The sequence below is a fragment of the Homo sapiens genome, chromosome 3, assembly GCF_000001405.40.
Source record: "Homo sapiens chromosome 3, GRCh38.p14 Primary Assembly".
In the NCBI taxonomy this organism is placed as follows: domain Eukaryota; kingdom Metazoa; phylum Chordata; class Mammalia; order Primates; family Hominidae; genus Homo; species Homo sapiens.
The window spans coordinates 129,073,872-129,100,751 of record NC_000003.12 but is presented as its reverse complement, the minus strand read 5'-3'; the positions used below and the strand labels follow the sequence as shown (position 1 = coordinate 129,100,751).

General features: G+C 50.8%; 2 protein-coding genes and 1 non-coding gene across 9 annotated transcripts in view, besides 1 other annotated feature; 2 read left to right on the top strand and 1 right to left on the bottom strand.

Annotated features, from left to right (window-relative positions):
* ISY1-RAB43 (ISY1-RAB43 readthrough) overlaps positions 1–13,180 on the top strand; it is a 73,492-nt gene extending 60,312 nt beyond the window's left edge. The window contains exons 12-13 of the mRNA NM_001204890.2: positions 5,583–5,766; positions 9,406–13,180. Of these exons, the coding sequence (NP_001191819.1) occupies positions 5,583–5,727 (145 nt within the window). The 3' untranslated portion in view covers positions 5,728–5,766; positions 9,406–13,180. The remainder of the gene's footprint in view (positions 1–5,582; positions 5,767–9,405) is intronic.
* The window catches only part of RAB43 (RAB43, member RAS oncogene family), a 34,582-nt gene extending 21,399 nt beyond the window's left edge, over positions 1–13,183 (top strand). For 5 of the 7 annotated variants that reach the window (NM_001204883.2, NM_001204884.2, NM_001204886.2 and 2 more), the window contains 2 exons: positions 5,583–5,766; positions 9,406–13,180. In NM_001204883.2, the coding sequence (NP_001191812.1) occupies positions 5,583–5,766; positions 9,406–9,656 (435 nt within the window). In that variant the 3' untranslated portion in view covers positions 9,657–13,180. Of the gene's footprint in view, positions 1–5,582; positions 5,767–8,158; positions 8,253–9,405 lie in introns of all 7 variants that reach the window. The other 2 variants (NM_001204887.2, NM_001204885.1) reach the window with 2 other exon arrangements.
* Positions 11,758–12,302: an enhancer, noted in NCBI's record as "H3K27ac-H3K4me1 hESC enhancer chr3:128807293-128807837 (GRCh37/hg19 assembly coordinates)". NCBI's record gives its function as "activates a minimal SCP1, AML or CMV promoter by ChIP-STARR-seq in primed H9 embryonic stem cells {active_cell/tissue: H9 hESC(primed)}" and the evidence as "EXISTENCE:reporter gene assay evidence [ECO:0000049][PMID:30033119]".
* Positions 13,184–26,549: 13,366 nt separating the features above from the next.
* On the bottom strand, positions 26,550–26,657 carry LOC124906368 (small nucleolar RNA U13). Its single transcript, XR_007096335.1, has one exon. It is a non-coding gene; the product is annotated as a small nucleolar RNA U13 (small nucleolar RNA).
* Positions 26,658–26,880: the final 223 nt, after the last annotated feature.

The following is a 26,880-nucleotide window of genomic DNA, read 5'->3' as shown; positions in this document are numbered from 1 at the left end:
CAGGCTTGTTGGCCCCAGCGTACCACCGCTACCCTGTATCCTTCCCTTCCTCTAATTTGGGGGAATAGGATGGGAATACTACCAGCCATGGGAAGGGTCTACTTTCCCAAAATATCTTCTCCATTACTGCCCACAGTTCACCAGCTGGTTGGCCTACATACCTTAATCAGTAGTTATTTTGTTGGTTTTTCATTTAGTTTTTATTTTAAGCAAACTTAACTTGTGTGTGGTTTGAGGAGTCATTTGGTTCTACAAGGATTGGTAGCAGAAGGTCTTAGGATATTGCCAACCCCCTGCCCTAGAGCAGCCACTTCCACCTCTTCTTTTGAAATAGGGTCTCAGTCTGTTGCTCAGGCTTTAGTGCAGTGGTACCATCTGGCATTTCTTGCAGGGCAGCTTTTTTCCAAGGAGCTTCTCTCTACTTCCATTTATCTGCAAACGTCTTGATTTCACCCTGTCTTATGAGGGAAAATTTTGTTTGACAAGTACTTCAGCATTGAGAGTTTTTTCTTTCCGCACTTGTTTTTTTCTTTTTAGCACTTCTCAGCATTGTCTTCTGGCTTCCATTATTCTGAGAAGTGGTTGTCATTTGTATTGTTGTTCCCATGTATGGAATATGTCTTTTATCAGACTGCTTTTCATATTTCCCCTTTATTCTTGTTTTCTGTCATTTTGACTGTGATCTGCTTTTGTGTATTTTGTATTTTTTCTGCTTGGGGTTTGCTGAGCTTCTTGGATCTTTAAGCCAGGTATGTTTCATCAGATTTGGAGATTTTTCAGTCATTAGTTCTTTGAGTATTCTTCCCCCATTATCACTATCTTTTCCTGGAACTGCAATTATGTGAGTATGAGACAGTTTGGTATTATCTCACATATCCTTCCGATTTTATTCATTTTCTTCAATCTTTTTTCCCCTTCCTCATATTAACTCTTTATTGATTTTTCTTCAGGTTCACTGATTTTTTTTTTCTGCCATCTATAATCTGCTATTAAGTTCATCCAGTGAATTTTCCACTTACTATAATTTTTAGTTCTAGAATTTCCACTAATTTAAAAATTAAGTTTAGGCTGGGCGCAGTGGCTCACGCCTGTAATCCCAGCACTTTGGGAGGCCGAGGCGAGTGGATCACCTGAGGTCGGGAGTTCGAGACCAGACTGACCAACATGGAGAAACCCTGTCTCTACCAAAAATACAAAATTAGCCGGGTGTGATGGCACGTGCCCATAATTCCAGCTACTCAGGAGACTGAGGCAGGAGAATCACTTGAACTCAGGAGGCGGAGGTTGCGGTGAGCGAAGATCGTGCCATTGCACTCCAGCCTGGACAACAGAGCGAAACTCCGTCTCAAAAAAAAAATTAAGGCCAGGCGCGGTGGCTCACGCCTGTAATCCCAGCACTTTGGGAGGCTGAGGTGGGCAGATCACAAGGTCAGGAGATCAAGACCATCCTGGCTAACACAGTGAAACCCTGTCTCTATTAAAAATACAACAAATTAGCTGGGCATGGTGGTGGACGCCTATAGTCCCAGCTGCTTGGGAGACTGAGGCAGGAGAATGGCATGAACCCGGGAGGCGGAGGTTGCAGTGAGCCGAGACCGCGCCACTGCACTCCAGCCTGGGTGACAGAGTGAGACTCCGTCTCAAAAAAAAAAAAATTAAGTTTAACATATATATATTTTTTGAGACAGTTTTGCTCTGTTGTCCAGGCTGGAGTGCAGTAGCGTGATCTGGGCTCACTGCAACCTCTGCCTCTGAGGTTCAAGGGATTCTCATGCCTCAGCCTCCCGAGTAGTTGGGATTACAGGAGCATACCACGATGCCTGGCTAATTTTTGTATTTTTGGTAGAGATGGGGTTTTACCATGTTGGCCAGGCTGGTCTTCAACTCCTGACCTCAAGTGATCCACCTGCCTTGGCCTCCCAAAGTGCTGGGATTATGGGCATGAAACACTGCACCCAGCCCGTAATTTTAATAATAATAAATAGTTTAATAAAACATTTATGTTTTAAGAAATAATTTTTCATTTATTTCCTTAAATCCCCTATTCGTCCACTCATTATGGCGATGTTTTTCTTTAACTCTTTGAACATACTTTCCTTGTAATTTTCTGAACATATTTAAAATCGCTGCTTTAAAGTCTCCCTACTAAATACAATATCTGGGCCATTTTGGCATCAGTGTCAATAGATTGCTTTTTCCCTTATCTGTGGTTCATATTTTCCTGTTTCTTTGCACGTTTAGCAATTTTCAATAGTATATGGAAATTGTGGTTGATAACTTAACGAGACTCTGGATTCTGTTACCTTCTTTAGAAGAGTGTTGATTCTTGTCCTAGTAGTCAATTCAGTTACTGGCTGATCACCTTGAAGTTATTCGTTTAGGCTTGTTTTTTATGTTTTGTTAGGGTGGATATGTGGAAAGACTAAGGTGTTTCTGAGCCTCGCTAATGTGGCAGAACTCAACCTCCAAACCCAAGGCTTATGTTGGTGAGGGCAGGTCTATGGAGGCCTATTCTTTAGGCATGGTCCTCACCCATAGTGACGTTCTGATAGCTCATATACGGGTCGCTAATGAGACACTAATGAGGCCTGTTCACTGTGTCTGGCTTGGAACTTCAGCATCCCCTAGCACTCCTGAACCTCTATCTCTGGTCTGTTCTCAACTCTGGAAGGGGCACTCTCTGGTCAAGAGCTCACTGGGACACCTCACATAGACTTTTGGGCTCCCCCTACTTATGTCTTCTCATTTCATCACATCATCTGCTCCAGACCCTGATCTCTGCCTCCTTAGCTCAGTGGGACCACTGTGCTCTGCTTGGATTCTAGCCCCATGGTCAGGAAACTCCCAGGTAGAGTGTCACAATGATCATGAGGTGCCTTTCATGAGTTTTTCCTTTTTTAGGGGTTATGGTCTCAGGCCGCTTGTTATCTACATTCCAAAAACGACAGCCTCATATATTTTCTCCAGTCCTGTGGTGTGTGTGGAGGGAGGGCTACTCTGCCACCAGCGATGCTGCCATGGCTGGAAGCTGCTCCAGGAGCCCTCTGACCGGCTCCAAGTTGGCTGATGTCTAGGCTGCTGCTCAGGTATTATCCTGGGATTTATCTCTCTTTCCATCATCCTGGCATCTCCCTTTGCCTCCCTTTTCAGTTGAACTCTCTGTTTTCTGGATCCCACATTTTCTTATTTTTTGTTGATTTCTTTAGGTAGAGGAACTTTCAGTCACTCCCTGAGGAAGGGTAGCAGGAAGGTGAATTTTTCGAGGACTGTATGTCTGGGAGTGCCTTTATTAAACCCTCACACTTGACTACTGGTTGGTTGGGTAGAGAATTCTAGGTTGGAAATAATTTTTCTCCTCATTTTAAGGCATTGTTTTGTTGGCTGTCTAATGCCACATGGGTCTTTTGTGTTCTTTCTTCTTGCCTGTTGTTCTGGAACTTCTGCCCATGGATGCAGTGTGGTCTGCTCTGCTCCATTGTGTGTGTGCCTGGTGGGCCCCTCAGTCAATTCTGGATACTTTTCTTGAAATACTTGATTTCCTCTCCTTGATTGTATTGTTCTCTTTTTCTGAAACTCTGATTATCCTGCTCTCCTAGGCTGCTTCTTAATTTTCTTTTCTTTTCTTTTCTTTTTTTTTGAGACAGTCTCACTCACTCTGTCGTCCAGGCTGGAGTGCAGTGGCGTGATCTCGGCTCACTGGAACCTCTGCCTCCCAGGTTCAAGCGATTCTCCTGCCTCAGCCTTCCCAGTAGCTGGGATTACAGGCGTGCACCACCACACCTGGTTAATTTTTGTATTTTTAGTAGAGATGGGGTTTCACCATGTTGGCCAGCCTGGTCTCGAACTCTTGATCTCAGGTGATCCTTCTGCCTTGGCCTCCCAAAGTACTGGAATTACAGGCTTGAGCCACCGCACCTGGCTTTCAATTTTATTTTCTCTCTTTTCCATTTCTTTGTATTTTTTCTCTACTTTGGAGGGATTTCTTCAACTTTATCTTCCAACCCTGATGTTGCATTTTTCATGTATGTTAATCATATTTTTAATTGAGCTCTTTTTTCTTTCTGAATGCGCCTCACCAAAAAAGATACTATTCTTTCCTTGTTCCATGAATCTTTCCCTATTTCTGAAACATTGACGATTGTTTGAGTACTTTGCCTCTGTGTTGTTTCTTCTGTGTTGTGTTTTTGCTGTTGTTTGGCCGGTGTCTTTCGTGTTATGTGTGGAGACGAGTTATCTCCACACCAGAGGTTATCTGGATCCCAGGCTTGTGTGGTACACACATAAACCTTGCACTTCACCCCATGCTGCCATGCATGAGCTGCAAGACGCATGAACTATGGAACATAGGCCTGGTTTTCTTAGAGCCACTCACTGAGGAGTAAATGGGACAACTCAGGAAAGAGGAGTCTTATTTGGCACATTGTGGCCCAGAGCTTTCACTCTCAGACTTCTGTGTTGGGGCTGGGGCAATGGTGGTCACCTCCACAGTGCCAGGGGCAGAGGCCCTGCCTTCAGGAACTGTCTGGGCCTCTGTGGCTTTTCCCCACCCCAGACAGACCTTGAGAGAAAGACCTTTCTCACATACCTTGAGAACTAGGTAAAGAGACACCCCGAGTGTTTGTGCCTGCAAAGGGGGCTGATGGACCTGCAGCTTGGCACACGCCACAAGCTGGGTGTCAGTCTTCAGAGAGCCATGAGAACCTGTGATTGGTGGGGCAGAGAAGGCACACCCGATCCCCAAGGTGTTTGGTCACCAAGATCCCTGGCATATGCCCCTTGGCTGGTGATCTCTGCCCAGAGTGGGCAGCCTCCTGGCCCCGCACAGACCTCTGCCCCTACCTGGCCTGGTATCCATCCTGCCAGACTCTGCTTCTAAAAGACACTAGGGAAGCTCCTCCCACCCATGGGCACCTCTTCTCCACAGCCCACATCTGGTGGGAGATGGGGCAGAGTAGGTGTTAAATGAAGACATGGGTGGCCAAAGCTCCTTGCTTTGGCCAAGCTGGGTCAGCTGGTGGAAACTGCCTTGTACTTAAAGGCCCCATGGGAGGACTCTGCCCATTGCCACCACCAGTCACCCTTCCCACAGTCCTCATCACCAAGCTGTAGAGTCCTGAGGGAACCCTAATGCTGGAGGAGCCTCACACACAGCTGGGTACGTGATGCTCTTGTAGGGGAGGGTACCTGGCCGTGCCTACTGCTGGCCGTGCAGTGCACCTGGAGCCAGCTTTCCAGCCGCCGGCCGCTTGAGCACTGGTGGTTCTGTTTTCGCAGCAGTGGGCCCAGTCCTGAGGGGAGAGGGGCACACGGAGGGGCACGCGGAGGACCTGGGTCAGCTCAGAGTGTACCCCTTCCTCCATCTTTCCCTGGGGACCCTAGAGGGCCAGGACAGGGGCTGCTCACCTTCCCTTTGCTTCCCCATTTTTCCAACAAGGTTGAGCCATTGAGTTGCTTTCTAAGGACTCAGAAGGCCTCCTAGCCCAGTGGAACCACAGCTCTGGGTGTGGGTCTGTGGGGTCACTCTGCCTGTCCCCATGTTCAGCCTGTGCCACTGGGTTCACTGAGGAACCTTATTTCTTTAGCTGCAGATCTGGGACACGGCCGGCCAGGAGCGGTTCCGCACCATCACCCAGAGCTACTACCGCAGTGCCAATGGGGCCATCCTTGCCTACGACATCACCAAGAGGAGCTCCTTCCTGTCGGTGCCTCACTGGATTGAGGATGTGAGGAAGTATGCGGGCTCCAACATTGTGCAGCTGCTGATCGGTGAGTTGGGGATTCCTCGGGACCACAAATCCCATCACTCTGCCTGTCCATGCCTCCCTCTGCTTTTTAAACACAGTGTAACCCTGAGTTCAGAGGGAGTCCCAGCCAGAGTTTGAGCCATGGTTTTGCAAATCCTGATCCTGCTAATCACTTAGAAAGTTACATTCAAGGCCGGGCACGGTGGCTCACGCCTGTAGTCCCAGCACTTTGGGAGGCTGAGGCGGGCGGATCACAAGGTCAGGAGATCGAGATCATCCTGGCTAACACAGTGAAACCTCGTCTCTACTAAAAAAATAAAAAAAAATTAGCCGGTTGTGGTGGCAGGCGCCTGTAGTCCCAGCTGCTGGGGAGGCTGAGGCAGGAGAATGGCATGAACCTGGGAGGCGGAGCTTGCAGTGAGCTGAGATCACGCCACTGCACTCCAACCTGGGTGACAGAGCAAGATTCGTCTCAAAAAAAAAAAAAAAAAAAAAAAAAAAAGAAAGTTATATTCAAAATTGGAATTAGAGGAAAGAAGAAAGAGAGCTGAAGTTTGCTCTGCTGTTCTTCACATGTGTCAAGATTTAGCTCTTGTACCCCGGCTTCTCCTCATTTGACAGGGGCTGGGGCTAGGCTCAGAAAAGTGCAGTGATTTATCCGGGTCCACATGGCCTGTGAGCATACACATGTAGGCTTTGAGTTTGCTTCTGCTGACCTCAAGTCTGTGGCTTTCTCTGTTGTGCCGCACACAGAGCAGGGACACTTGATGGCTTCCGTGCCTCAGAATCCCACAGAAGTCTTCTTCAAGTGCAGCTGCAGGGCCTCAACCTCCAGAGCATCTGATCCAGGCGGGCTGGGTGGGGCCCATGAATGTGCGTTTCTAACAAATTCCCAAGTGACACCCACCTTGCTGGTCCAAGGATCCCACTTTGAGAACTGCTGCTGTGGAAGGATGCTGTTTACCTTTGTTTTCCTTCTATATAACCTTCCCAGACCTGGACTGGAGAAGCTCTTTAGCTCTTATGTTATCCCTGGGGTCCTCACCCCAACAGGTTGATTCTTTTTTTTGAGACAGAGTCTTACTCAGTCACCCAGGCTGGAGTGCCGTGGCGTGATCTTGGTTCTGCAAGATCTGCAAAACCACTGCAACCTCTGTCTCCCTGGTTCAAGCGATTCTCCTGCTTCAGCCTCCCGAGTAGCTGGGCCAACAGGTTGATTCTTCTGACTCAAATGTACAGACAGGGCCTGGACCTGACTCCAGCCAGGAAGAGGGTGGTGCCTGGTTCCATGTGGCCTGCCTTCCACAGCCTGTTCAGACTAGGACATGGAGTGCTTGGCATGAACAGAGCTTTCCTCACGTAGCCTAACCATTTCCCCACCTTTTCTTGCTGGGGGTGGGGGACGGAGTCTCGCTCTGTCGCCAGGCTGGAGTGCAGTGGCACGATCTTGGCTTACTGCAACCTCCGCCTCCCGGGTTCAAGCAATTCTCCTGCCTCAGCCTCCTGAGTAGCTGGGACTACAGGCACGCACCACCACACCTGGCTAACTTTTGTATTTTTAGTAGAGACTGGGTTTCACCATGTTGGCCAGGATGGTCTCGATCTCCTGACCTCGTGATCCACCCGTCTCGACCTCTAAAAGTGCTGGGATTACAGGTGTGAGCCACCACACCCAGCCACCAATTCCCATTTATCCAGGACATTTCTGAAAAACATTCCAGCCTGGCATGGTGGCTCACACCTGTAATCCTAACACTGAGAGGCTGAGGTGGGTGGATTGCCTGAGTTCAGGAGTTCAAGACCAGCCTGGGCAACATGGTGAAACCCCATCTCTACTAAAAATACAAAAATTAGCCAGGCATGGTGGCACACACCTGTAATCCCAGCTACTGCGGAGGCCAAGGTAGGAGAATCGCTTGAACCTGGGAGGCGGAGATTGTAGTGAGCCGAGATCGTGCCACTGTCCTCCAGCCTATGCGACAGAGTAAGACTCTGTCTTCCAAAAAATAATTAATTAAAAAACATTCTATTATAGAACTTTTTTTTTTTTTTGAGACAGAGTCTCACCCTGTCGCCCAGACTGGAGTGCAGTGGCGCGATCTCGGCTCATGGCAAGCTCTGCCTCCTGGGTTCACACCATTCTCCTGCCTCAGCCTCCCGAGTAGCTGGGACCACAGGCGCCCGCCACCATGCCTGGCTAATTTTTTGTATTTTTAGTAGAGACGGGGTTTCACCATGTTAGCCAGGATGGTCTCGATTTCCTGACCTCGTGATCCACCCGCCTCAGCCTCCCAAAGTGCTGGGATTACAGGCGTGAGCCACCGCGCCCGGCCTATAGAACATTTTATACAGCTATGAAAATAGTATTTTATCTATTTATTTATGCATACTTATATACATACATATATTTTTAGAGATGCAGTCCTGCTATGTTGCCCAGGCTGATCTTGAACTCCTGGCCTCAAGCAATCCTCCTGCCTCAACCTCCAAGTAGTTGGAATTACAGGTGTGAGCCACTATATCTGGCTTAGAATAGTATAATAATGAGCCCCCAGGTACCCATTACCCTGCTTCAGCAATTAGCAACTGAAGTCCAACCTCCTCTCATCTGTACCATGTCACCTCCCCTCCCTCGGATTATTGAGACAAATTCACATCAAACCATTTCACCTGGCAGTATTCCAGCATGAACCTACAAAATATTTAAACACTTAAAAACAGCAATATTATTTTCTCATCTAAAAATACTGACATTTCCTTAATAATATAAAATAGCCAGTCTGTATTCAGATTTATAATTGCCCATAAAATTCATATGTGTTTTATTTTTTCCAGTTTGTTGAGATCAGGATCCAAATAAGTTTCACACTTTGAAACTGGTTGCTACATCAATTAAGGTTACCAAGGAAATTTTAGATCTTTACAGACTTTTTTTTTTTTTTTTTTTTTATGACGGAGTTTCGCTCTTGTTGCCCAGGCTGGAGTACAGTGGCACAATCTCGGCTCACTGCAACCTCCGCTTGCCACTCCTGCCTCAGGCACCCGAGTAGCTGGGATTACAGGCCCCCGCCACCACGCCTAGCTAATTTTTTGTATTTTTTTTAAGTAGAGACGGGGTTTCATCATGTTGGCCAGGCTGGTCTTGAACTTCCAACCTCAGGTGATCCACCCACCTCGGCCTTCCCAAATGCTGGGATTACAAGCATGAGCCACTGCGCTTGGCCCAGACTCTTTTTTTTTTTGTCTTCCTTATAACCACATTACAAAAGTCAACCATGTAGAGACTTTTAAAAAATTATTCTAGAAATTGGGTCAAGGAGCAATTTAACAGATTGTTTGGAATGTAATGAAGTCATCTCATACCATCTAGGAGGATCTGGGTAAATTGAGACGGGGTCTCACTGTGTTGCCCAGGCTGGTCTTGAATTCCTGGGCTCAAGCAGTCTTCCTGCCTTAGCTTCCCAAAGTGTTGGGATTACAGGCGTGAGCCACTGCACCCGGCCTAAAAAAGGTTTTTTAAAGAAAGACAGATGACCATGCCAGGGGTGTCCATTTATAGTGGTGGAAGGGAGTGGCATGGGGCTGTCAGCGTGACCCTCCCAGGTGGGACTGGGCTTGCCCAGCCCCCATGGCCTCATGCTGCCCCGGCTTTCCTCCGCAGGGAACAAGTCAGACCTCAGCGAGCTTCGGGAGGTCTCCTTGGCTGAGGCACAGAGCCTGGCTGAGCACTATGACATCCTGTGTGCCATTGAGACGTCTGCCAAGGACTCGAGCAACGTGGAGGAGGCCTTCCTGAGGGTGGCCACGGAGCTCATCATGCGGCACGGGGGCCCCTTGTTCAGCGAGAAGAGCCCCGACCACATCCAGCTGAACAGCAAGGACATCGGAGAAGGCTGGGGCTGCGGGTGCTGACCAGGGGCCGGGCCGGCAGACTGGGGGTTCCCCACCTCCTTGCTCTCCCCAGCCTGCCAAGCCCAGCCCTCCAGAGCCAGCCCTCCTGGGTACCGGCAACTACAGCAGCCGGGTGAAGCTCTGGAGCTCTGCATCCTGTGGCCTGGCTGCGGGATGGAGGCTCTCCTTGAGGAAGGGGAAGCAGGATACCCTGGCGGGCCACCCTGCCAGCCAGCAGCTGGCCCTCCACCATCTTCACATTCCAAGACTGGCCTGAACCCGCCGGTGTGGGCCACAGTAGGAGGGGCCAGCAGTCCTCCCTGTCCCATGCCTGCTGGCTCTGACCGTTTCCTCTCATGGGTTTGCTTTACCTGTGGCAGCAGGTTGCTGCTTTCCAGGGATGTGTCCAGTGCCCTGGGTTCTTCCCGGTCATCCTGGGGCTCTGCACAGAGCAGCAGAGCTAGAGCCATGAGACCCACAGACTTGGTGCCTGAGCGCAGCTCCAGGGAAGCCCCAGCCCCTTCCAGGCGGGGAACCTGCTTCCTGCCTTCACTGCCCCCGCAGCACTCACAGACATCTCCCTGGGGTCTGGCTCACTGCCTTATCAGGACCTCTGAGTTTTCTGACTTTCTGTGTAGCTTCTCATTTTCATCAGCACAGCATGGGGTCACGGCCCACAGCTAGGTGGGGTCACGGCCCACAGCTAGGTGGGGACTGTCTGCTGGCTCAGGGCCCAGTGTTTTGCCACTCAGGTTGCAAAATTAGCTAATCCTTCAGTGCCAGCACTCAGAAGTCTGGCAGGTGGGGGAATGAGATGAGAAAGTGGACATTTAAGGTCCAAGTAGAAGCTTGCATCCTTGAGGCTCAGGGATGAGAGGGCACCGCAAGGCACCCAGCCTTACCCCACAAGCAGGAATCCTGCCAGCCGAGCGTGGGTCCCAGTCTATGGAATCGAGTCTCCCAGACAAAAAAGGAGAGGCCCTGGCGGTCCTTGGCCTGGCCCATTTTATTCCCTGGACCCTTAACTGCCTCACCCTGAGCTGGGCACCAAGGTTAGAAGGCAAAAGTGGGGTAGGGGGATGTGGGAAGCAGCATTGTCCTCTGGGCATGTGGCTCAGAGGTATCACAGTGACAAAAGAGCCAGGGCTAGGGCTGGAGGGGCCAGGTGATCTTCCTTAGCCAATCCCAGTCCGTCTGTGTCAGCCCAGCTCTGCCTCGCAGCCCCCTCAGCATGGGTGCCCCCAGAAGTAAGCAGCTCTTGGACCCACGAGCAGGGCTGCGTCGGTTTGTGGTCTAGCTCCCAGGGGCAGGCCAGGCATGGCTCAGTGCAGTCCCTGGGCCAGTGAGAGGCCTCCCCCATGCCTCCCTGCCCTCTGCACTAAGCACTTTCCAGGCAGGCCTGGCCATAGGGCAAGAGCAGGCCTTACAGCAGTGCCACGGTGACCCAAGAGGCAGGGTTGGGGCCTGGACAGGGTTTCCTCTGCTGAGACTGAGACAAGCAGGGCTTGATGCTGGTGGTGGAGCCAGCATCTCACCTGCCAGGCTTCCTTTTGGGCAGGGAGGCTACCTGTGGAATGGCTGAGCCTGGTTCTGCAGGGGAGGAAGGCTGCCAGGAGCTGAGGGGCTAGCACCTGCATTGAGGGGAGTCTGGGTGCATCAGATTGGGGGGCGCCAGAGGCGAGGCTGCCTGGCTCCCTTTCTCAGCAGCTTTGCTTGTGGCAGGGGTGAGAGTGGAGCTGAGTGGGGTCTGGGCTCTGCCCCTGCGCCTCCACTGCAGTGCCTGGGCTCCCCTTGCAGGGCAGACAGTGCCTGGCACTGAGGGGTGCCCCCAGACCCCGCTGGGACTGGATGTGCCGTGGGCAGTGCCTTCCTCCAGCCTCACAACCTTTCTGCTGGGGCTGAAGTTTCTGGGGTCACATGGTCAGAAGGGGCTGAGCTGGTCTTTCACTGCAGGCCCACTCTGAAAGAGAAATCCCATGAAGCCTGTCCTTGCAGAGCCCCTCTGTTTTTGGGGGAACAGGGAGCATTCACAGGGTCTTGGGAACAAAGGCCTGGGCCTCCCCGTTTGAATTTCAGCCCCAGTTCCAGGGCAAGTCCCAGCCACCCAAGCATACTTACCAGTACTGCCCACCACCACCCACTGCCCACCTCTAAGAAGCCCGGCTCTCCTACTCTGCTTCCAGGCTGGGGCCTCACAGGTGGGGCTGTTACCTTCCTCAGGGCTTAGGGAGGGAGGGAGGACATGGACAGGGCCTTCCACCCTGGCTCCTTCACAGGGATGGTAGCTGACCGGTGATGGGTTCATTTGTCACCTTGGACTGTGAGCCACTTCCACTTCTCGCCCCCCAGGCAGGAGCACCCTCACTCCAAGGGCTTGGCCTGGAAAGGCAGGCTCACCTGGGACTCAACGTTCCTTCCCCCGCCGCCACTGTGCCCCCCGTCCCTCCACCCCAGAAGCCCTGACCTCATTTGGGCACCTTGCTGTCCTCTGGGCTTCTCCTCTGCCCAGGTCACCCTGTGGCAGGCCTGGGCCCTCAGGATGTTTCAAAGGCTCCACAGCTCCACCGCTCCACCTGGCTTCACTCCAGCACCCTGTCCCTGGAGCACCTCTGTCCTGTCTGGGCCAACCTGGTCTCCCTGCCCCATGCCCTCCCCTGGCTCTTAGCAACCTGCCCTTTTATTCATGCCATTTGGGGTCACAGATGCCTAGCTGGACACAGCTCCCAGAACTGGCTCCACCCTGGGGCCTTGCCCCTAGTACCCCCTGGCAGGAGCAACCCACCCCATGGTCGAGGTTCCCCTACCCCTGGATCCTGGACTGAAGCCATTTCCTACAGAGAAGCGTTCCCACCCCCTCTCAGGCACAAAAGCCGGTGTCCAGGGACTCAAGACCTGTACCTGGGGTTGCAGGGGCTCCTGCCCTGCTGTATCCCACCAGGAGGGGGCCCCACTGCCCTTCCGGCCCTTAAAACTGGGCTGGGAGAGAAGACGGGGAAGTGTGTGAGACAAAACAAAGCCGGCTTGTTTCCTCCCCTTGGCAGGCTAAGCTCTCCCGGCAGCCCGGGCTCTGGGGCGGAAGGAGAACAGTGTCATCTCTTCCTTTGTTGATAAATTGCCAAAGAGTGGGAACAGGTGGGGTCAGGGGCCAGAGTGCAGGGGAGGGGGCAATGGTGGAGGTGGCGGGGGGAAGCAGAGGGAGGTGGGCTGAGGCCTCGGTGGGGCCAGTGCGACGCTGGCTTAAGGAGCTGGAGGGGTTCCTAATACACATTTAATTCAGTTTCTCTTCCCTAAGAGGCTGCCGGAGTTGGGGCCTCCTCCAGCAGAGACCCTCGGACCCCTGCAGGGCCTGGACTTGGGGTGAACAGGGCTTCAGTCAGCGCAAGTATTCCATTTGCATTTGGTAATTTTTCATGCCACCTATTTATGAATATATAAATCTTTATACCAAATCTATTTTTTAAAACATGGAAAAGTTGCCTTTATGGAAACTTGGCAGAGCCAGAGTGTACACATTCCTAAACCATTAAACAGATTTCTATAACAAGCCACTGCGCCCAGGACTGGTTCTCTGATCTTTGAGCCCAGAGGCGGCCCAGGTGGCCACGTGCCTCAACTAGTCTCCAGGCCCGGGGTGGTAGACAAGCTGCCCCCTGCCAGTCTGCCACCCAGAGCACTGTGAGACCTTCCCTCTGTCCCTAAACCCTTGGGGGACCCCCCTGAGCAAGAAGCAGTTGGTGCCTGAGGGGCAGAGGAAGCTTGGGCTGGGTCCCTTCTCTGGGACACCCCAGGTTCCTCCCATTGGGTTTGTGTTGGAGAGGGCTCTTTGGTGATTGGCAGGGGCACCCTCACCCCGACCTCCCCATGAGGGAAGCGTCACTCTCCTGAGCACACAGGCCTGGATGAGGAATCCCTTGCCCGGGTCTTGTAGCCACATTGATCCCACAGTGGCAGGAACAACCCACCCCATGGTCGAGGTTCCCCCCACCCCTGGATCCTGGGCTGAAGACATTTCCTACAGAGAAGTGTTCTCACCCCCTCTCAGACACAAACGCCAGTGTCCAGGGGCTCAGGGCCTGTGCCTGGGCTTTGGGGGGCTCTGACCTGTTGTTATTCCGAGTTAGGACTTAAGAACACCATGAGGGGCTCTTGCTTCTGTGATGTGACCAGCACAGAGATGTTACCAGGCACACAGTAGATGCTCAGCTTAGAGAAGTGCCTGAATCAGGTCTCTGGCACTGGGAAGCCCATGAAATCCATAGCCTGCCCACCAATATAATCAGGGGTCTATTCCTGGTCACTCAAATAAGGGGTTTTCTGCCGAAAGGGACTCTTAAACAGCAGGGCTGCTGGTTGGTCACCCTGAGGAAGAAGAGGGGGGCCTAGCAGTGCTGCACCACCTTGCCAAGCCTGAGACAAACTGACATGATGGGGCTCATAGCAGCCTGCCGTTGAAACCTAGGTGTGCCCTGACTGTCCTGTGGTTCTGGGCAGGTCACTTCTCCTCTCTGGGCCTTGGTTTCCTCAAACCTGGGATCCTATTCCCTGTCCCATTTGCATCCCGGGGAGCCCTGAAGAGACCCCAGGAGGGGAGTGCTTTATGCACTGAAGGCCTGGAACAGGGCACTGGAGGAGGAAGACCCAGAGCCCTGGCTCTCAAGACAGGCCTGGCTCCAGGCACCTGCCATCCTTCCCAGGGAGAAGGAAGGCCTGATGTCTGAACTCCCTCTTCTCTTCTGAATGCCAGGAAGCACCAGAGTGCGCGTGTGCCCCTTGTAAGTCAAACCCATAACCAGGCCTGTCTGAGCCCGGCCATCCGCACGCTCCCAAGAGGCTCAGACCTGGGTCAGTCTGTCCCTAGGGCCCTCTGAGGCCTCTACCCAAACAACAGGACTGCCCAGACCCCAGAGCAAACAGACAGCACAGGTCCACTCCTTGACTTCAAAGTATGGAAGCTGAGACTGGATCCCAGAGAGTCTTGCTCAAAGCCCCACGATGTTCACTTCTGAGCCCCCACCTGCACGCCCAAGCTGGGTGCTGGGTCCCAGAGGTGAGTCTGCCTTGCTGCCTCCAAGGGCTCCCAAAGCTCCAACCTGGACCCCACTCCTCCCTGCACACATTTGCCGCTGGGATTGGCCAGCCCCGCCCTCAGGGAAGCCAGGAGGCAGGGGGGCCCCTTCCCTGTCCTCACCTTCACCCTGGCTACTCCCATCCCCACCCAGCCCACCCACCTCCTGCCTGGGCCTCTGCCCCAGCCTCTTCCTGACCTGGTCCTGCCTGGGCATCTCCTTGTGGCTGCAGAGAGCATCCTCAAGCAAGACCCCTAGCCACAAGGTCCCGACTCCCTCACTCAAGACCTCTTCCACGGTCCTTGTGGCCCTCGGGCTCCTTAGAGAGGGCCCAGCATTGGCCACTCTCCCCTGACCTGGCCACACACAGCCACACGCTGCTCTGCCACCCCCAGTCTGAGCTGCTCCCCGCAGACCGACCATCTCAGGCCTCCTGTGGTGTAATGGGCTTCTCCAAGCCAAGAGTTCCTGTTCCCAAACATCCTGAGCTGGAGCCCCAGGCCCCAGGAACAGCCATCTGGCCCTGACCCTGAGCTCCCAGACACTCCTATGACCCTGCAGAGGGCAGGAGGCCAGGCCCCATCTTGCCCAGGGGTTGCAGCCGCTGACCATGGTTCCCCACTGGAGGGCTAAGTCCCAGCTCAGAGAAAGCTGTGGACTCAGCTCGTGTCCACTGTGTGCTTTCAGCGGGCCACGGTGCGGCCCACTGCAAGCAACCCTGTCTACAGCTCTGGCTACGGAGGCCGTGGTGGGTCGGGCTCATCCCCACCTAGGCTCCTGGGATCTGGTCCTGTCCTTGCCACACTTGGGCAAGGAGGTTTCCCTTTCATATCAGATTTTAAAAGATTTGTTTCGGCTGGGTGAGGTGGCTCACCCCTGTAATCCCAGCACTTTGGGAGGCCGAGGTGGGCGGATCACAAGGTCAGGAGATTGAGACCATCCTGGCTAACACGGTGAAACCCCGTCTCTACTAAAAACACAAAAAATTAGCTGGGCGTGGTGGCAGGCGCCTGTAGTCCCAGCTACTCGGGAGGCTGAGGCAGGAGAATGGCGTGAACCCGGGAGGCGGAGCTTGCAGTGAGCCAAGATGGCGCCACTGCACTCCAGCCCGGGCGACAGAGTGAGACTCTCTCAAAAAAAAAAAAAAAAAAAAAGATTTGTTTCTTAGCACAACAGTTGGGTCTGCTGTATTCTGGCCCTTCACTCTGCCAGGAAGCTCCACAGTCTGTGCTGGTTGGTGGCAAGCAGGAGAGGTGTGGCCCATTGAGAAGCCAGCACATGGCAGAGGAGGCCGGGAGAGGGAAGAGTGTGGCCAGGTGGCCCCGAGGGAGCTCCCTGGAGCCGGGTGAGTAGGGCCTGTCTGCTCCTGCCTTGCTCCACTTGTGGTCCGTGGGCCAGCAGCGTGGGTATCACCTAGGAGCCTATACAAAAATGCAGAACCTCAGCCTCTACCCCAGACCTCCTGAGTCAGAATCTGAATTTTAAGAAGATCCCCAGGGGGATCCTCATTGTGTGCACATGACCGAGGAACTCTGGTCAACACAGCCTGCTCACTGCACAAGCATGGCCCAGGGTCAGGCCCTGACATCCTAGAATTTTTGGTTTCTTCCATTGGCCTGAAGGATGTTATCCATTTATGTCTTGGTCAAGTGTCTTTTCCTTCCTTTCTACAAGTGCCAACTTCATCTGCAGACTTCAAGGTCAACGGGCTCACAGCGGCTGGGCGCAGTGGCTCACGCCTGTAATCCCAGCACTTTGGAAGGCTGAGGCGGGCAGATCACGAGGTCAGGAGATCGAGACCATCCTGGCTAACATGGTGAAACCCCGTCTCTACTAAAAAAAAAAATACAAAAAAATTAGCCAGGCCTGGTGACGGGCACCTGTAGTCCCAGCTACTTGGGAGGCTGAGGCAAGAGAATGGCATAAATCCGGGGGACGGAGCTTGCAGTGAGCCGAGATCGTACCACTGCACTTTAGCCTTGGTGACAGAGCGAGACTCCGTCTCAAAAAAAAAAAAAAGGCTCATGGCTTGCTCCTCAGCAAGGCTCAGACTCCATCCCATAGCCAGAGACAGCGCCATGAATGGAGTCAGCCATGAATGGAGTCAGCAGGACCCCTGCATCACCCTGACACCCAGACACTCTCCCCAGGGCACTTTCATCATCGAAGCGCTACTCTGCCTGGAAACATGCAAGCTTGTCATCCCTAATCATGTTTTTGTTGTTGTTGTTGATTTTCTTCATGTTACCTTGTCTAAGGCCTAATATGGTCCTTGATCTCTTCTTGATCCTTGACCAACTTGACGCTGTAGACTCTCTGGGCAGAAAAGACATAAATTCACATATAGATGCCAAATATGGTGCATTGTCAGGTGTGAGTAGATGTACGGCTGAAGGCTGCTCAATTTCCACGTCTAGAATCTTCAAACTTCTATCAGATCGGCGGCTACAGCCACCCAAGGTGATGGGGGCTGGTATTTATTGCGAGGTTTCTGTAAACTTGTATTGTTCTCAGCATTGTACAAGAATTCATAAGACAGTTTAGGTGCTTTGCCTCAAATTGCACATCTAGTCAGTGGCAGAGGTAAGATTAGAACCCTGTGCATCTGGGCTCCAGGGACTGGGCCTTAACCCTGGAAATCCTGAGAGTGGACATTGGGTATTTGAGGGTGAGACGGTGGCTGCAGCGACAGCTACCACATAATCAGGATTAGATTCAACAACATGGACATAATTCTAAATGAACATTTCTGAAAATAACACCCCTTATAGGGATCTCCCTGAAGGAAATTTTTTTTTTTTTGAAACAGGGTCTAGCTCTGTCACCCAAACTGGAGTGCAGTGGCACCATCTCAGCTCACTGCCACCTCCGCCTCCCGGGATCAAGCCATCCTCCCACCTCAGCCTCCCGAGTAGCTGGGGCCACAGGTGTGCGCCACCACACCTGGCTAATTTTTATATTTTCTGTAGAGATGGGGTCTTGCTATGTTGCCCAGGCTGGTCTTGAACTCCAGGGCTCGAGTGATCCTTTCACCTCAGTCTCCCACAGTGCTGGGTTCCAGCCATGAGCCACTGGGCCTGGTCTAAACTTTACAGTTTTCTGTAAGAAGTATATATTATGTTAGCTCTGAAAGAAACTCTGAAAGAGTCATGAAAACAATATAACATTTAAAAATGCTTATGATGCAGTATTCACTGAACGACTCAGAACACCAAAATATAGAAATTTGAAATGTTATGACTGATGTAAAAACTAGAGTCTGGGCCTGGCGTGGTGGCTCATGCCTGTAATCCCAGCACTTTGGGAGGCCGAGGCAGGTGGATCACCTGAGGTCAGGAGTTCGAGACCAGTCTGACCAACATGGTGAAACCCCGTCTCTACTAAAAATACAAAATTAGCTGGTGTGGTGGCGGGTGGCTATAATCCCCGCTACTTGGGAGGCTGAGGCAGGAGAATTGCTTGAATCCAGGAGGCAGATTTTGCAGTGAGCCTAAATCGTGCCACTGCACTCCAGCCTGGGCAACAGAGTAAGACTCCATTTCAAAAAACAAACAAAAAAAAAAAACTAGAGTCTGGATATGAGACGGTTAAGGGACCCTTAAGGTGGTTAAAGGACCCTTAATGTGGTTAAGGTAAGGAGGATTTAAACCCCAACAGGCAGAAACTTTCTTCCCTTTCTTCTTTCTCTCCTCTTCCTCTTCCTCCTCTCTTTTCTTCTCCTCCTCCCACCTTCCTCCTTCCTGGGCGGGGTGTGGGTCATCGTGGCTTTCTACATGTCCACTGAAGCTGTTACCTGTGTGATGCCAGTGAGCCCGCTGGACTCTGGCCGCTGAGTCCTTTCCAGATGGCACCGAGTCCCTGGATGAGACCCTCGAGTCCCGCACACCCCTCTGCTTCCTGGCACATGTCATACATTCTCCGCTGCAGACCTGGAGTCAGTCATTACTCCAAGGAGCCCTTGAGGGTTGTGTTGTTCTTAAAACAAACTTCTAAGTTCTCTCCTGTTCTTTGCCTGGCGTTCCTTTCTCCTGTTGTTTTAAACATTGTCTTCCATGTGAGGGCTGTTCCTCAGGTCTGGGGATTCCTGGAAGCCTGAGTGCCCAGATAGGGCTTATCAATGGGTGGACTTCTCCCTGTTGGGTGATTTTGGGCCCAGCTGCTCTTCCACTGGGGAGGGGTCCCCTAATGTCTGTAGCCAGAGAGAAGAGATCTTTTCCCTGAAGCATTTCCATTTCTCTAGCACAGGATCTTCTAATCTCCTTCCTGGGGGTGGTGGGGATGGGAGAAACCCCATTGCGTGCGCCGGGTAGCCAGTCAGGAAGGAAGCCAGGGTCCTGCGGCAGGAACTGTGGACGTTCCCGTCTATTTTTGGCCCTGTACCAAATTTTTGCCCTCCACTCTGCCTGCTTTCCCAAGGCTGGGGTTCTCTTTTCAATTTCTTAAAAAATGAACCCCTGCCCCTCAAATTTCCATTTGGACGGGGTGAAGCGGTGGTCCCTAGATGCAGAAATCAGGGAGGGGCCTGAGGGTTACAAATGCTGGGAGCTAGACTTCCAGGCAAGCCCTGATTTTCAGGCCTCTCTCGTGATCTGTGGCGATCCGCAGCATCTGAGTGCTGACCCCTGGGGATCCTGGGGGCACAGTGGCTGCTTCTCCTCAGGTTTCCCCCTGCCAGCCACACTGTGATCTGTGGAAGTGGCCACTGCCTCCATCCACTCTCCGCTCCACAGAAGCATGTTGGCCTCTCTTCCCCACAGTCACCTCCCCTCATTCCCTTTGTCCTTGTGGATTTATCCCTTTTTAAAAATAGGCCAGATGCGATGGCTCATGCCTGTAATCCCAGCACTTTGGAAGGCCAAGGTGGGCAGGTCACCTGAAGTCAGGAGTTCGAGACCAGCCTGGCCAACACGGTGAAACCCTGACTCTACTAGAAATACAGAAATTAGCCAGGCATGGTGGTGCACAGCTGTAATCCTAGCTACTCGGGGGACTAAGGCAGGAGAATCGCTTGAACCTGGGAATCAGAGGTTGCAGTGAGCCCAGATCGTGCCACTGCACTCTAGCCTGGGTGACAGAATGAGACTGTGTCTCAAAAATAAATAAATAAATAAATAGAAATTAAATTGAATTAAATTTAAAAAATAAAAATAACTGCCAAGGAATTCTGGTGGGGTGTGGGTAGGGAGAGGAGACCCCCTCTCCCCCATGTGGTCAATATGCCAAGTGTAGCTGGAAGCCTGGGGCAGGCTCCAGAGGCGTCCCCACAGCACAAGTTGTCTGTGATGGTTGTCTCTTGTGACAGTTGACCATATGAATTGGGTCACTCTTGTCACACCCAAATAAAACAGAGTCCAGAGGTGGGGGGCAGGAGGGTGGCACATAACACAGCTCCAGGAATGTCATTCTCTGCAGCCTGGCTGCTGAGGCTGTCTGCTCCAACCTGAAACCAGTTTTTTGTTTTGTTTTGTTTTTTTGAGATGGAGTTTTTGCTCTTGTTGCCCAGGCTGGAGCGCAACGGCGCGACCTCAGCTCACTGCAACCTCCGTCTCCTGGGTTCAAGCAATTCTCCTGCCTCAGCCACCTAAGTAGCTGGGAGATTACAGGCATGAGCCACCACGCCCGCCTAATTTTTTGTATTTAGTAGAGATGGGGTTTCACCATGTTAGTCAGGCTGGTCTTGAACTCCTGACCTCAGGTGATCCATCCGCCTTGGCCTCCCAAAGTGCTGGGATTACAGGCGTGAGCCACCACACTCAGCCAAAGCCAGTCTTATCTGATAGGTACTGATACCACCCGTTGCAACTCTAAGATGAGTTTCACTGGCTGTCACTCACCAGTCAGAGCTGGCCAGCGTCCCCAGATTTTACTGGTGCCAATGAACTTTCTGAAAAACAGTATGTACCATTTCTCCTTTTTATAACACCTCCAACCTCCTCTTTGTTCTTCAGACATATTGAAGACCACTTACTTGGTCTGTGTGTAAGACCCAAATCGCTTCCCACATAAAATGTTAAATTTAGAGATTTGTCTCTATATTTTAATCCTTGATTTTTACACTCTGGAAGATGCTCTTCTGGCTATACCCAGCCTTCTGCTGAAATCGCTCATGAGGCCTTTCAGGTGGTGTCAGCCTCATCTCTTCCTTTGTTAAGTTCCTCAGAAAGAAATTTGCCAAGATATTCATAGGATGAACTGAATTTAGAGTTCATCTGGGAGACTTGAATCTTGCTATCATGAATGGGTACATTTTTTGTTTATTCAAACCTTCTTTCTGTTCTCAACAATATTTTGCTATCATTGTTTTTTAACAAACCAAATTTAAAAAACTTCTTTTAGAGATGGAGTCTCACTGTGTCACCCAGGCCGCTCTCAAACTCCTGGCCTCAAGAGATCCTCCCGCCTCAGCCTCCCAAAGTGCTGGGATTACAGGCATGAGCCACCGCACCTGGCCAATTCAACTTTCTAAACTCAATGGAAGGAATGATTCTTCAGGTTATGATGGGAGTCCATGGAGCTTTTCCGAAGTGGAGGACATCAGGTGAAGAGTGTATTCCAGGCTCTGGCCTTGGTTGTATTGACTGACAGGTAGGTACAAACCCAGCAGGCTGGGTGAACCGCAGAGCCTGCCTTCCCTTTTTATTATGGAATCTTTGTAAACAGAAAGCCTCAAAGTTGCCTCCCATCCCCTCCCCTCCTGTCCCCTCCCCTCCCCTGCCCTCCCCTCCCTTCCTTTCCCTTCTCTCTTTTCTCTTCTCTTTTCTTTTTCTTTTCTTTTTTTGAGACAGGATCTCACTCTCTTGCTCAGGCTGGAGTGCAGTGGTGCAATCTTGGCTCTCAGCAACCTTCGCCTCCCGGGTTCAAGCGATTCTCCTGCCTCAGCCTCCTGAGTAGGTGGGACTACAAGTGTGCACCACCATGCCCAGCTAATTTTTGGATTTTTTTGTAGAGATGAGGTTTTGTGTTGTTGCCCAGGCTGGTCTTGAACTCCTGACCTCAAGTGATCCACCGGCCTTGGCCTCTCAAAGTGCTGGGATTACAGGCATGAGTCACTGCACTAGGCCTCAAAGTTGTTTTCTAATTAGCAGGGATACAAAGACCCCAAATAGCAGCATAAAATTCTATCTATATCCCTATAAAAGTCTGAACAAAAACAGAATAGGATAGGATATCTGTGCGGTTGCACTGACGCCCTGAGGTGCTGCCTGGCTCCAGTCTTTGCTTCCCACCCCACGGGAAGGGGAAAGGGAGGACCAGTCACCCCTTTCCTTAAGGGCATGGCCCGAAGCACCTGCCTGCATCGCCTTGGCTAGGACTTGGTCACGTGGGCGCAGCTCACTGAGGGCATCTGGGAAATGTCTCTATTCTGCACGGCCCTGTGCCTGGCTAAAATTCCATTCCTGTGGAAGAAGGGGAGTACAATTCAGAGGCCAAGCAAGCAATCCTTGCCACATTGAGTGATCCCTGCCCAGCTTGAAGGGGTGGCTGGAAAAGGCCTGGTGCTTTGGGTTAACTAAAGATGCCTTTCAGTTCCATCTCCCTCAAATGCAGCTGTGTTGCCTTTGGAGCCTTTCTTCCTCTGACCATAAGTTTTCTCATTTGAAAAATTGAGGATAATTCTTCCTATCTTGCAGGGTTTTCTGAAGATTAGAAATTATATATATGGCTGAGTGCGGTGGCTCATGCCTGTAATCCCAGCACTTGGGGAGGCTGAGGAAGGAGGGTTGCTTGAGCCCAGGAGTTCAAGACCAGTCAGGGCAACACTGTGAGATCCCATCTCTACCAAAAAAAAAAAAAATTAGCTGGGCATGGTGGCACGTGCCTCTGGTTCCAGCTACTCGGGAGGCTGAGGTGGGAGGATTGCTTGAGTAGGAGAGGTAGAGGCTGCAGTGAGCCATGATTGTGGCACTGCACTCCAGCCTGGGCAACAGAGTAGGAACTTGTCTCAAAAAAAAAAAAAAAAAAGGAAACCAAAGAGGTGTTTCCACTGTAATTAGTACTGCCAAGTATATGATGTTTTTTTTTTTTTTTTTTAGACAAAGTCTTGCTCTTTCACCAAGGCTGGAGTGCAGTGGCGCGATCTCAGCTCACAGCAAGCTCTGCCTCCTGGGTTCAAACGATTCTCCTGTCTCAGCCTCCCAAGTAGCTGGGACCACAGGCGTGCACCACCACACCAAGCTAATTTTTGTATTTTTAGTAGAGATGGAGTTTCACCCTCTTGGCCAGGCTGGTCTCGAACTCCTGACCCTCAAGCCTCCCAAAGAGCTGGGATTACATGAGAGAGCCACTGCACCCGGCCATGCCAAGTATATGATTAAGCAAACAAACATTACAGACTGTGATGGTTATTTTGTGTGCCAACTTTGCTGGGCCCTAGTATTGAGATATGTGGTCAAATATTATTCTGGGTGTTTCTGTGAGGGTGTTTTGGATGAGATTAGCATTTCAACAGTGGACTTTGAGAAAAGCAGATTGCCCTCTGTAATCGGGTGGGCCTCATCCAGTCAGTTGAAGGCCTGAAAAGAACAAAAAGACTGACCTCCCCTGAGCAAGAGGGGATCTGCAGCAACAGCCTTTGGACTTGACCTGTGATTCTGTGTCCCTGGCTCTCCAGACTGCTGGTCCAGCACGCAGGTTTTCGACTTGCCAACCTTCATCATCATGTGAACGAATTCCTTCAACTCTCTCTGTACACGCTTCCTATTGGTCATTTCTCTGGAGAACGCTGACTAATACACGGATGCCAATGTTTATTTTCCAGGGGACATTCAGACACAGGGTCAATTCTTTGCACTCCAGAGTATTTGTAATGATGATTTCTGCCCTGCTGACTTTTTTCCTTTCTTCATCCAGCACTTTAGGGCCAACTTTATTTTAAGTGGGGTGGGGAGAGGAATGAGAAGGAAGAGGGAAAATTCTTGCTATTGAAAATGCATCTGGGGGCCAGGTGAGGTGGCTCACACCTGTAATCCAGCACTTTGGGAGACCAAAGCAGGTGGATCACCCGACGTCAGGAGTTCGAGACCAGCCTGGCCAACCTGGTGAAACCCTGTCTCTACCAAAAGTACAAAAATCAGTCGGGCATGGTGGCAAGTGCCTGTAATCCCAGCTACTCGGGAGGCTGAGGCAGGAGAATCACTTGAACCCGGGAGGCGGAAGTTGCAATGAGCTGAGATCACTCACTGCACTTCAGCGTGGGCAACAGAGCAAGACTCCATCTCAAAAAAAAAAAGAAAAGAAAATGCATCTGGGGCCGAGCATGTTGGGTCATGCCTGTAATCCCAGCACCTTGGGAGGCAAACATGGGTGGATCACTTGAGCCCAGGAGTTCGAGACCAGCGTGGCCAACATGGTGAAACCCCATCTCTACCAAAAATACAAAAATTAGCTGGGTGTGGTGGCGCATACCTGTAGTCCCAGCTACTGAGGAGGCTGAGGCAAGAGAATCGCTTGAACTTGGGAGGCAGAGGTTGCAGTGAACTGAGATTGCTCCACTGCACTCCAGCCTGGGCAACAGAGCAAAACTCTGTCTCAGAAAAACAAACAAACAAAAAACAAAGAAAATGCATCTGAACTTTGACTCTCCAAATGAACTTACTTTATTTTATTTATTTATTTATTTATTTATTTTGAGACAGGGTCTCACTCTGTCATTCAGGCTGGAGTGCAATGGTGCAATCTTGATTCACTGCAACCTCCCTCCGCCTCGTGCCTCAGCCTCTCGAGTAGCTGGGATTTCAGGTGTGTGCCACCACGCCCAGCTGGTTTTTGTATTTTTAGTAGAGACAGGGTTATGCCATGTTGGCCGGGCTGGTTTCCAACTCCTGGCCTCAAGCAATCCACCCACCTTGGCATCCCAAAGTGTTGGGATTACAGGTGTGAGCCACTGCACTTGGCCAAACTTTACTTTTTCCCAAATCAACTTTGGGGATTCTGTCCCAAGAAAACACATCTAGATGTGGAAAAATTTTTATGTACAAAGAATTCAAATACAATGTGCTATGGTTTCCTTTTTTTTTTTTTTCTGACGGAATTTCAGTCTTGTCATCCAGGCTGGAGTGCAATGAATGGTGTGATCTTAGCTCACTGCAACCTCTGCCTCCCAAGTTCAAGCGATTCTCCTGCCTCAACCTCCCAAGTAGCTGGGATTACAGGTGCCCACCACCATGCCTGGCTAATTTTTGTATTTTTAGGAGAGATAGAGAGTTTCACCATGTTGGCCAGGCTAGGCTGGTCTCAAACTTCTGACCTCAGGTGATCCGCCCACCTCGGCCTCCCAAAGTGTTGGGATTACAGGCGTGAGCCACTGCACCTGGCCTGGTTTGCTATTTGACCCCTCCAAATCTCATGTTAAAATGTGATCCCCAATGTTGAAGGTGAGGCCTGGTGGAAGGTGGGTCATGGGAGCGCACCCCTCATGGCTTGGTGCAGTCCTCACACTAATGAGATAATGAGTGAATGCTCACTATGTTAGTTCCCAAGAGACCTGATTTTCAAAAAGAGCTGCCTGGCAACTCCCTCCCCTCTTTCCTGCTCCCTCTCTCACCGTGTGACCCACCAGCTCCCCTTCACCTCCAACATGAGTGAAAGCTTCCCTGAGGTCTCACTAGGAGCAGATGCTGGCGCCAGGCTTCCTGAACAGCCTGCAGAACTGTGAGCCAAATAAACCTCTTTTCTTTATAAATTACCCAGTCTCAGGTATTCCTTTATAGAGACACAAACAAACTAAGACATAATGCCATTTGTGGGGGCAGGGGGGACTTGGAAACAACCTAGATATCCCAGAAAAGGAGTGACATAGAAATGATCTTCATGAAGGATTTGATTGAAGTAGTGATTGGAATTCTACTATTGATTGGAAAATGCCAGTAAGTGAAATAAGCTGAATAGCTGTTTATCATTGCAATTTCACACCCAAACTTAAATGTTCCTCAATAAAAGATGAATTAATAAAAATAAAATGAATGAATACAATAAAATTAAAAATGACTAAGTAGGCCAGGCATGGTGGCTCACGCTTGTAATCACAGCACTTTGGGAAGCCAAGGTGGGTGGATCACTTGAGCTCAGGAGTCCGAGACCAGCCTGGCCAACATGGCAAAATCCTGTCTCTACAAAAATATATTAGCCAGGTATGGTAGCGTGCTCCTGTAGTCCCAGCTTCTCAGGGAGGCTGAGATGGGAGGTTAGCTTGAGCCCAGAAGGTCGAGGTTGCAGTGAGCTGAGATCGCACCACTGCCTCTCAGCCTGGGAGACAGAGTGAGACTCAGTCTCAAAAAAAAAAATTGACTAAGTAGAAACAGATGAACCATGAAAATATGTTCTCAATTACTCTCATAAATAAAATAATCGTAAATATATATTTAAATATATGGGTGTGTATATACACACGTACCCACCCACATATGTATATATACACACACATTTTGGGGAGAAAGCCTGGAAGGATATTCAGTCAAAGTTAGGAAGAAATCTGTCTCTGGAGGGGGCTGGATTTCAATTTCAGGCCTTTTATTATTATTATTATTTTTTTTTTTTTTTTTTTTGAGACGGAGTCTCTCTCTGTCACCCAGGCTGGAGTGCAGTGGCGCCACCTCGGCTCACTGCAAACTCCGCCTCCCGGGTTCACGCCATTCTCCTGCCTCAGCCTCCCGAGTAGCTAGGACTACAGGCGCCCGCCACCACGCCAGGCTAATTTTGTTTATTTTTAGTAGAGACAGGGTTTCACCATGTTAGCCAGGATGGTCTCGATCTCCTGACCTCGTGATCTGCCTGTCTCAGCCTCCCAAAGTGTTGGGATTACATGAGTGAGCCACCGCGCATGGCCTAGGCCTTTTATTATTATTTTTCATGTCTGGTAGGTAATGTGCTGACATCATAACAAGGTTTGAGAAAAGAAGTTCTCACTCACACAAGAATGAGAAAAGCCAATCATCACACTTATAAACTACAAAAGGCTCCTAATTTTTTTGCAGTTTTAGAGAAAAATTTTTGGTTATGATCATGAATTAGTTATATATAGCCAGGAAAATCAATAAAGCTATTTCCATTTTTTAAAGAAGGGAAAAAGTTGGGCTAGATAATTTGTGTGGTTATGATCTCAACTATATACAACTGTTCGGAGAAGGACACCAGAAGGAAATACCGCAATGGCGAGCCCCATTGTTCCCTCCGTGACTTCA